The sequence below is a fragment of the Homo sapiens genome, chromosome 11 (genome assembly GCF_000001405.40).
Source record: "Homo sapiens chromosome 11, GRCh38.p14 Primary Assembly".
NCBI classification, from domain to species: Eukaryota; Metazoa; Chordata; class Mammalia; order Primates; family Hominidae; genus Homo; species Homo sapiens.
In genome coordinates this window covers 5,667,375-5,678,502 of record NC_000011.10, presented here as the reverse complement: position 1 = coordinate 5,678,502, position 11,128 = coordinate 5,667,375, and the positions used below count along the sequence as shown (strand labels likewise).

General features: G+C 39.0%; 1 protein-coding gene across 19 annotated transcripts in view; it reads left to right on the top strand.

Annotated features, from left to right (window-relative positions):
* Positions 1–11,128, top strand: part of TRIM5 (tripartite motif containing 5) — a 96,440-nt gene that overhangs the window by 6,572 nt on the left and 78,740 nt on the right. For 13 of the 19 annotated variants that reach the window (XR_007062518.1, XR_001748014.3, XR_007062517.1 and 10 more), the window contains exons 4-5: positions 69–299; positions 10,792–10,814. Coding sequence is in view for 12 of the 19 variants with exons in the window: in XM_047427783.1 (XP_047283739.1) it covers positions 69–299; positions 10,792–10,814 (254 nt within the window). In the remaining 7 variants the exon portion in view is untranslated. The other 6 variants (XR_007062522.1, XR_007062519.1, XR_007062521.1 and 3 more) reach the window with 2 other exon arrangements.

Here is an 11,128-nt window from a genome sequence, read left to right as displayed (position 1 = left end):
CTCCTTTTCTGGCTAACAGCCTCTGCCTGGTAGACTGAGTGCCCCTTTCTCTTCTCTTATCTCTGAAGACTCAAATACAGTATGACAAAACCAACGTCTTGGCAGATTTTGAGCAACTGAGAGACATCCTGGACTGGGAGGAGAGCAATGAGCTGCAAAACCTGGAGAAGGAGGAGGAAGACATTCTGAAAAGCCTTACGAACTCTGAAACTGAGATGGTGCAGCAGACCCAGTCCCTGAGAGAGCTCATCTCAGATCTGGAGCATCGGCTGCAGGGGTCAGTGATGGAGCTGCTTCAGGTAAAAAGTGGAAAGAAGCCTGAGCACTGAGATTAAAGAAAAGTGAAGGCTATTTCCTTCTCTGCGTTGCTGTGCTTTTTCTAATATTAACAATGTTCTCTGCAGGACCGCTTTTCTGAATCAATTGCTGAAGTTATAAGAATAATTGAATGTAGAAGTAGCAAGAGATAATCCCATTTTTATTAATTTATCCAGAGCAGTAGAAAAATTTGACGTAGTGGAGATGATCAATTAGCTCTAGTCATGTTTGATAGGTTCCTATTCTCTGTATTCTAGTGTTGAGACTTACCAGTGCAGCTTTTCATTGCTCAGCTTAGCCACTGGCAAACAAATACACGTCAAAATACAAGATGCTTTTTATTTTTTTCCTTCATGGAATTAATTGAGACTTTTTCCTTTTTTTTTAATTTTCTGAAAAGAATTAAATAACTGCTATCATTTCTTCTTTATATGCTCAATAGAATTCACTAGTAAAGGCTGGGCGCGGTGGCTCACGCCTGTAATCCCAGCACTTTGGGAGGCCCAGGAGGGCCAGTCATGAGGTCAGGAGGCCCAGGCGGGCCAGTCATGAGGTCAGGCGATTGAGACCATCCTGGCTAACACGGTGAAACCCCGTCTCTACTAAAAATACAAAAAATTCTAGATCCCTGAGGAATCGCCACACTGACTTCCACAATGGTTGAACTAGTTTACAGTCCCACCAACAGTGTAAAAGTGTTCCTATTTCTCCACATCCTCTCCAGCACCTGTTGTTTCCAGACTTTTTAATGATTGCCATTCTAACTGGTGTGAGATGGTATCTCATTGTGGTTTTGATTTGCATTTCTCTGATGGCCAGTGATGATGAGCATTTTTTCATGTGCTTTTTGGCTGCATAAATGTCTTCTTTTGAGAAGTGTCTGTTCATGTCCTTCGCCCACTTTTTGATGGGGTTGTTTGTTTTTTTCTTGTAAATTTGTTTGAGTTCATTGTAGATTCCGGATATTAGCCCTTTGTCAGATGAGTGGGTTGTGAAAATTTTCTCCCATTTTGTAGGTTGCCTGTTCACTTTGATGGTAGTTTCTTTTGCTGTGCAGAAGCTCTTTAGTTTAATTAGATCCCATTTGTCAATTTTGTCTTTTGTTGCCATTGCTTTTGGTGTTTTAGACATGAAGTCCTTGTCCATGCCTATGTCCTGAATGGTACTGCCTAGGTTTTCTTCTAGGGTTTTTGTGGTTTTAGGTCTAACGTTTAAGTCTTTAATCCATCTTGAATTGATTTTTGTATAAGGTGTAAGGAAGGGATCCAGTTTCAGCTTTCTACATATGGCTAGCCAGTTTTCCCAGCACCATTTATTAAATAGGGAATCCTTTCCCCATTGCTTGTTTTTCTCAGGTTTGTCAAAGATCAGATAGTTGTAGATATGCGTCGTTATTTCTGAGGGCTCTGTTCTGTTCCATTGATCTATATCTCTGTTTTGGTACCAGTACCATGCTGTTTTGGTTACTGTAGCCTTGTAGTATAGTTTGAAGTCAGGTAGTGTGATGCCTCCAGCTTTGTTCTTTTGGCTTAGGATTGCCTTGGTGATGCGGGCTCTTTTTTGGTTCCATATGAACTTTAAAGTAGTTTTTTCCAATTCTGTGAAGTCATTGTTAGCTTGATGGGGATGGCATTGAATCTGTAAATTACCTTGGGCAGTATGGCCATTTTCACGATATTGATTCTTCCTACCCATGAGCATGGAATGTTCTTCCATTTGTTTGTATCCTCTTTTATTTCCTTGAGTAGTGGTTTGTAGTTCTCCTTGAAGAAGTCCTTCACGTCCCTTGTAAGTTGGATTCCTAGGTATTTTATTCTCTTTGAAGCAATTGTGAATGGGAGTTCACTCATGATTTGGCTCTCTGTTTGTCTGTTGTTGGTGTATAAGAATGCTTGTGATTTTTGTACATTGATTTTGTATCCTGAGACTTTGCTGAAGTATACCATTTGACCCAGCCATCCCATTACTGGGTATATACCCAAAGGACTATAAATCATGCTGCTATAAAGACACATGCACACGTATGTTTATTGTGGCATTATTCACAATAGCAAAGACTTGGAACCAACCCAAATGTCCAACAATGATAGACTGGATTAAGAAAATGTGGCACGTATACACCATGGAATACTATGCAGCCATAAAAAATGATGAGTTCATGTCCTTTGTAGGGACATGGATGAAATTGGAAATCATCATTCTCAGTAAACTATCGCAAGAACAAAAAATCAAACACCGCATATTCTCACTCATAGGTGGGAATTGAACAATGAGATCACATGGACACAGGAAGGGGAATATCACACTCTGGGGACTATGGTGGGGTGGGGGGAGGGGGGAGGGATAGCACTGGGAGATATACCTAATGCTAGATGACGAGTTAGTGGGTGCAGCGCACCAGCATGGCACATGTATACATATGTAACTAACCTGCACAATGTGCACATGTACTCTAAAACTTAAAGTATAATAAAACAAAAACAAAAACAAAAAAAACACAACAGAAGAAAAAAAAAAAAAAAGAAATGCAAGAAAGCTAGCACCCCCAGGGGCATCCTTCAACCAATGGGGTTGGGAGTTGATGGAGAAATGCCTCAGCTCTCAGTGTTTCGGGCAGAGATTCTGGGGCATTCCCAGGAGGTTTGGTGGGATCATGATCCCATAATGCCCAGAAACAACCCCAACAGCTTACTCATACATTGGCTTCTCCTCCTCCCTGTCTTACCTCCCTGCTCCCTCATTCCTGCTTCCTGGGGTCAGGTAAATCACCTGGACCCAGGTCCTTGTCTCAGGCTCTACGTTCAGTGTTTCTCATGCTGTATTCCTCGGAACCCCAGGGCACCTTAGGATGTGTCTACCCCTCTCTCACCTGCATTTGATTTAATGCTCTGTTGTCATCATCTTGAAATGTTTAATAAATTTTGAACAAGGGGCCGCATATTTTCATTTTGCATTGTACCCCACAAATGAAAAAAAATAATACAAAAAATTAGCCAGGCGTGGTGGCGGGCACCTGTAATCCCAGCTACTTGGGAGGCTGAGGCAGGAGAATAGTGTGAACCCGGGAGGCGGAGCTTGCAGTGAGCCAAGACTGCACCACTGCACTCCAGCCTGGGCAACAGTGCGAGACTCCATCTCAAAAAAAAAAGAAAACTGCTCTTATCCCAATTTTCAAGAATACAATACATTGTTAACTATAATTGCCACATTCTGCAATAGATCTCTTGAAGATAGTCATCTTTTCATTCTGAAGTTGGTGTCCTTTTACCAATATCGGCCTCAACTCTCCCTACACCCCAGCTCCTGGAAACCCCTCTTCCACTCTCTACTTTTATGAGCTCAACTATTTTTTACATCTACATACTAAGTGATGTTATACAGTATTTGTCTTTCTGTTCCTGACTTACTTTACTTAAAGTCCTCCATGGTGTGAGATAGTCTTCTGCATATGGCTATCCAGTTGTTCCAACACAACTGAGAATGGTCCTACCACTGAGGGCAACCTCGCATTTAGATAGCTCGTAGACTGAGTCCACTGCACAGATCTAGAGCCTAGGCTGTGAGATACGGCCTGGAGGCTTATCCATAGATACCAGTCTGGAGTCTGGTGTCTTCAGACCTGCCAGGCTGGGTTTTACTAGGTTGAGCCCAGTGTTAGGGTCTGAGGTAACATTTGGTGCTCATTTTCCCCTCTTTCTCCTTGTGGAGGGTACCTCTCACACGCTATGCTGCCTAGAGTTGTAAGAGGGGTGAAATGGAAAATGTAAAACTGTCCTTCCTACATTCTTCCATGAGTCTTTTTCTTCTTTCTGTGTTATACCCAGATGCTGTATGCTCCCACCCTATTTCTTAGTTCTGGTGAGGTGTTTTAGTTCTTGGATGGTTGTTTAAATTGTTTTTGAGGGGAGACAACTGCTAGAGACTCCTATGATACTATTTTGCTGACATCCATCTGCAATTCCTTTCATTTCTATCTACAGCACACACACTTATGTCTCCTCTTTTATTCCTGATTTTGGTGATTTGTTTTCTCTCCCTTTTTTTGTCCTTTTAGTTATATTTGGTCAATTTTGTTAACTTTTATGAAATTAAAAAGGCTTTTTGCTGCATTGATTTTATCTTTTTTTAACCTTTCTGTATCGTTTCTGCTCTGATCTTTATTATTTCATCTTTTTCGTTGAGTTTTTTGTTGTTCCTTTTCTAATTTTTCTAAGGTGAAATCTTAGATGCTGTGAAATCTTTTTTTTTCTGATATAGTGTTTAATAAATGAATTGCTTTAACTATATTTCATACATTTTAATTTTTGAGTTTTCATTTGGCTCAATGTATTTTCTAATTTTCTTTGTGATTTTTTGGTTTACTCTTGGGTTATTCAGAAAAGTAGTGTTTAATTTTAAAGCATTGAAGAATTTTTTTAATGTTTCTTCTGCTGTGGATTTCAAATCCCATTCCTTGGTAATCAGATAACTTATTTTATCATTTGTTAATGTATTGAAACTTATCTTATGGTATGGAACATTACATGAGCAGGAAAATGTTTTATATGCATTTGAAAAGAATATGTATTCTGCATTCATTTGGTGAAATAATCTAAAGATGTCCATTAGGTCAAGCTAACTGATAGTGTTAGTCTTCTATATCCTTTATGGTTTTTATACTAGTTTTTCTATTAATTACTGAGAGTAAATTATTGAAATCTTCACCAGTTGTTATTGAGTTGTCAGTTTTCCTTTTCTTAATTCTTTATGTATTGTTTTCAGTATTTTGAAGCCCTGTTGTTAGGTGAAGATACACTAATATTGTTATTTCTTCTTGACATATTGAACCTTTCTTTCATTATGAAATATTCCTGTTATTCTCACATAGCAGTTCTTGCCTTAAAGTATCTTTGGTCTAATATTAATATATCTACTTGAGTTGTCTTATGGTTACTGCTTGCATAGTATATATATTTTTATTTCTACTTTGGGTTTATTTATGCTTTGAATCTAATATATGCTCTCCTATAGGTAGTGATAACCGAATCTTCTTCTTTACCCAGTCTGTCTGACAGTCTCTGACTTTTCATTTGGGTTTTCATTATAACATTTAATGCAATTATTGATATAGTTTTACTTAAATTTACCATTTTGCTATTTGTTTTCTATATTTCTCCTGTCTTTTTTGATGTTGTTATTTTCTGCATCCTTAACTGGCTTCCTTTGTGTTAAATAAATATTTTCCAATGTAGATTTTTAGTTTTTCTCTTTTTCAGCTGTATGACATTAGTACTCTTCCTAGTGCTTGCTCTAATGATTACAATATGCATCTTGTCCTATCACAGCCACCTTCTGATTAATAGTAACTTAATTCCAGTAAAATACAGAAACTTCCCTTCAATATTGCTTCATTTTCTTCATCTTTGGTTATCATTTTGTCATATATCTCACATGCATATATGTCATAACCTATTAATATAGTATTGAATTACTTTGTAATAAACTTAATGTCTTTTGAAGTTATTAAGAAAATACTTTGGGAAATAAACTATAGATTCTTTTATCTTAACTCACATTTTATAGTATTTCCATTTTGTTTAGGTTTATTATGAATTTGGGTAAATCTTTGGAGGAAATTAATTTCAACTGAAGAAATTTTAAAAACTATTTTTGGGAAGAAATATTTATGGGAAGAAATATTTTGCAGGGGCTCACACCTGTAATCTCAGCAATTTGGGAGGCTGGGGCAGGTGGATCACCTGAGATCAGGAGTTCAAGACCAGCTGGCCAACATGCAGAAACCCCATCTCTACTAAAAATACAAAAATTAGCTGGACATGGTGGCACGTGCCTGTAATCCCACCTACTTGAGAAACTGAGGCAGGAGACTCGCTTGAACCTGGGAGGCAGAGGTTATACTGAGTCGAGATGGCACCACTGCACTGCAGCCTGGGCAACAGAGTCAGACTCTGTCTCAAAAAAAGAAAGAAAAAAAGGAAAAAACATTTTTTCTCCATCTTCCAGCAACAAATTCTCTCAGTCTTCATCTGAGAATATTTTTTTCTTCATATTTGAAGAAAATTTTTGCTTTATATGGAGTTTGGAGTTGACAGTTTCTTTTAGTGCTTTCAATAAGTCATTCCAGTCTTTTCTCTCATCTATTATTTCAGATGAGAAGTCAGCTATTAATCATGTTGAAAGCATTCCTTATGTAATGATTAATTTTTCTCTTGCTGCTTTAGTTTTTTCTTTGCCTTGATTGTAGCCTTTGGAAGTTTTTCTATGATATGTGGGTCTCATATTAGTTATTTAACTTGGGGTTCATTGAACATAGATTTAGATATTAATATAGATGAAATATTAATTTTTATAGAATGTAACAATTTTTCCCCAATTATTTTTTTCTACTTGAAAATGTAGCAACATACATGTAATAGATCTTAAAACAGGTTTTAAAACCTTTTCCTCTCTTCTTTCCTTCTGGAAGACCTATTACATGTACATTGCTACATTATGACATCTGACATGTCTTTGAGGCTCTTTTTATTTCTTAAGTCTTTTTTCCCTCTGTTCTTTAAATCAGAAAATTTTTATTGATGCAGCTTTTCAGGTTCAATGATCTTTTTGTGTGCTGTGGAGCACTTTTAGCAAATATTTCATTATTGTTATTTTACTTAAAATTTTCAGAATTTTTATTTCCTTATCATTTCTATCTCTCGAGCATATCTATTTTTTGAGTCATTGTTTTTATACTTCAATTCTTTAAGCATAGTTCTCCTTAGTTTTTTAACCTATTTGCAATAGTTGCTTTGAAGTCTTTATCTTCTAGCTCCAACATCTGGGGTCACTTGGGGATATTTTCTATTTATTGTTTTGTGGGGTTTTTTTGTGTTTTTTTTTTAATCCCCCTGAGCTGTGGTATTCTATCTTGTTTCTTTGTATGTGTACACATTTCTTTTGTAAATAACATATATATATTTTAGACAGAGTCTCACTCTGTTGCCCATGCTAGTATGTAGTGGTGCGATCTTGACTCACTATAGCCTCGACATCCTGAACTCAAGCAATCCCCTCACCTCAGACCCCAGACTAGCTGGGACTACAGCTCCGCACTACCATGCTCACCTAATTTTTGTATTTTTTGTAGAGATGGGATTTCACCATGTTGCCCAGGCTGGTCTCAATCCACTTGCCTCAGCCTCCCAAAGTCCTGGGATTACAGGAATGAGCCACTGCAGCTGGCCAAAACATACATTTTTGTTACTTTGTTGTTTCTGAGAATTCCCATCCTCTAGTCTCTACCCAGCAAGAAGTGTTTCTGTACCTTCATTTATTTACTTCCCTGTGGTTGCTAATGTCTCTGCTGTGTTTAAAGAAAGCTAAAATATAATTTTTAAGTGTAGGATCCTAGCTTTGTCCTGTGTGTCCATGTATCTTTGGTTTGCCTCTAATCTCGAATATAAGTTATGTTCAATCCCCTCAAGGCAGTAAGGCTTCTGTCGTCTCCTGATGAATCTATGCTTGGGTAAGTGAGATTGCCCAGATTAATTCAAAGTTAAGGCTGTTTAAAAATCTGCTACAATTTTCTCACTGATGTGTTGTTTCACTTATCCTTTCCATATGTGTGTGTCTTTAGCATGGCCAGGGTTGCATATAACTTACTCCTAGTTAAGTTAATATATGTAATTCCTGTTGTTTCCAGCCACAGTGCAGTAGTGCTTTTAAGATGGGCATCTGGGCTGGGCGCAGTGGCTCATGCCTGTAATCCTAGCACTTTGGGAGGCCGAGGCGGGCGGATCGAGACCATCCTGGCTTACACGGTGAAAACCCATCTCTACTAAAAATACAAAAGAAAAAAAAATTAGCTGGGTGTGGTGGTGGGAGCCTGTAGTCCCAGCTACTCGGGAGGCTGAAACAGGAGAATGGCATGAACCCAGGAGGCAGAGCTTGCAGTGAGCTGAGATCGCACCACTGCACTCCAGCCTGGGTGACAGAGTGAGACTCCATCTCAAAAAAAAAAAAAAAAAAAAAAAAAGATGGGCATCTGATCCAACACAGACAAATGCCATGCAAGCCTAAAAGTTTTTTATGTTAAAACTTAGAAGTTCTCCTTTCTGCTGGGGTTTATATCAGGAGAGTTACATTTCCTTCATGTACAGAGAATAAACTCAATGTAGAGGAATAGGGAGAATTTGGAGAAGGACATTGATCATATTTTTGTTTTTTGTTTTCAGATGAAGTCTCGCTCTGTTGCCCAGGCTGGAGTGCAGTGGTGTGATCTTGGATAACTGCAACCTCCGCCTCCTGGGTTCAAACAATTCTTGTGCCTCAGCCGCCTGAGTAGCTGGGATTATAGGCATGCGTATGTTTTGAAGAGACGGGATTTCACCAGATTGGCCAGGCTGGTCTTGAACTCCTGACCTCAAGTGATCTGCTCACCTTAGCCTCCCAAAGTGCTGGGATCACAGGCAGGAGTCACTGCGCCCAGCCCATAGACCAGATCTTGATGACAAGGTTTGAGTTTCAAAATTCAGCTGTGACTGAAATTGTAATTACCCTTTCCAAAGTTTTTTTCACCACTTAATCCAGTTTTATTTGGTTTATGTTACATACAACATAAAAGTACTAATACAAAAAGCAAAACTATTTGATTGTATGTGTAGATCCAGCTATTGGCTTTGTTCTTGAAAAAAAATCTATGTGGAAAAATTGTGTCTGGCATAAAGGAGACCAAAGACATTGCATTGGTACATATCTGCTAAAACAAAACAGTATTTGTGGTGATAAAGAGGAGTAGATTACCTAAAACCATTAAGAATGTAAACTAGCTGGGTGCGGTGGCTCACGCCTGTAATCCCAGCACTTAGGGAGGCTGAGGCAGGCGGATCGCCTGAGGTTGGGAGTTCAAGACCAGCCCGACCAACATGGAGAAACCCTGTCTCTACTAAAAATACAAAAATTAGCCAGGCGTGGTGGCGCACGCCTGTAATCCCAGCTACTCAGGAGGCTGAGGCAGGAGAATCGCTTGAACCCAGGAGGTGGAGGTTGCGGTGAGCTGAGATCGCGCCGTTGCACTGCAGCCTGGGAAACGAGCGAAACCCCGTATCAAAAAAAAAAAAAAAAAAGAATGTAGACCAAACTGTCCTGTTAGAGACTAGAGTTCAGAGTAAATGTAGTTTTTAGGACAATGACTGAGTAGATATTAGTAATATTATGGACAATGTGGTATAAGAGAGAAGACAGTATGGTTGGTGTTACATAATAAAAATTCTTAGTTGTTGGTCCTTGTTGCTCCTTCACTACTGAATGTATTAAACTGCATTTAAGTGACAAAGTTGGGTAAAAGTAGGGAATTGGAAATCAGTTGCACATATGTGTGTCAAACTTAAGGAAGTGAATGAAGTCAGTTACAGTTAATGTCTAAAATGAAAAGAGAGCAACCTTAAGAAGTACGTAGGCCGGGTGTCGTGGCACATGCCTGTAATCTCAGCACTTTGGGAGGCCAAGGCAGGTGGATCACTTGAGGTCAGGAGTTCAAGACCAGCCTGACCAACATGGTGAAACCCCATTTCTACTAAAAATACAAAAAATAGCCGGGCATTATGGTGGGCGCCAGTAATCCCAGCTACTCGGGAGGTTGAGGCAGGAGAATGGCTTGAACCCGGGAGGCGGAGGTTGCAGTGACCCGAGATCACGCCACTGCACTCCTGGGCAACAAAGTGAGACTCCTTCTTAAAAAAAAAGAAAGAAAGAAAAATATCTATACTTGTTTAGTACACTTGTTTGCTTATACCCTCAGCAAAGGCCGCGTAAACATCTTGAGCACTATTATTCATTCATCTTTGATTCTTCAAAATGTGACATAATGCCTGGAGAATAAGTTTATATATATATGTTTTCTTGTTTATTTTTGTGATTTTCTTTTTGTTTAGAAGTGGGGTCTTACTCTGAAACCCAGACTGGAGTGCAGTAGTGTGATCCTAGCTCAGTGCAGCCTCAGTCAAACTTCTGGGCTCAAATTCTCCCACCTCATCTTCCCAAGTAGTTGGAACTACAGGCTCATGCCACCATGCTTGGCTAATTTTTTTTTATTTTATTTTTTGTAGAGATGCGGTCATGCTATGTTGCCTAGGCTGTACATCTGTTTAATAAATCAAAGAAGCACTAATTATTTAAATCATTTCATGGAGAGCCATATACGTTTGGAGAAAAACAAATTGTCAGTCACTTCTTTTCCTTCTAAACATGTCCCATCTGCAGAAACCAGGAGCCTCTTCCACAGGGATGAAAGCTATTTCTACTTTTAAGGGAACTTGGAAATCTCACATGAGTCTTCTGGGATGATTGCCTTGAGTCTTATCTTTGCTTTTTTGTCTTTCACACTGTCACCATCTCCATTCTCAGCACATTAGGAACCGGGGGAAATGTGATGAAGCTTTATAAGTGAGGAGAGACTCTTTCTTTCTTAATTGATGTTTTCTCTCTTCTTCCTAGGGTGTGGATGGCGTCATAAAAAGGTATGTGTGGGAGGACAGAGATGGTCCTTTTGTGCAGTGAGGAGAGATTTATAGCCATTAGAATTGTCCTGGGTTTAATTAGAATAAAACATCTCCCAGGGCAGAAAAATTTCGATATTGTTTTATCATAAATTTCTGGTCATAAATCAGCATTCGAATGTTCTATAACTATTAAGAATAGACCAGATTTGGCCAGGTGTGGTGGCTCAAGCCTATAATCCCAGCACTTTGGGACGCCGAGTCAGGAAGATCAGGAGTTTGAGACTAGCCTGGCCAACGTGGCAAAACCCTGTCTCTATCAAAAAAATACAAAA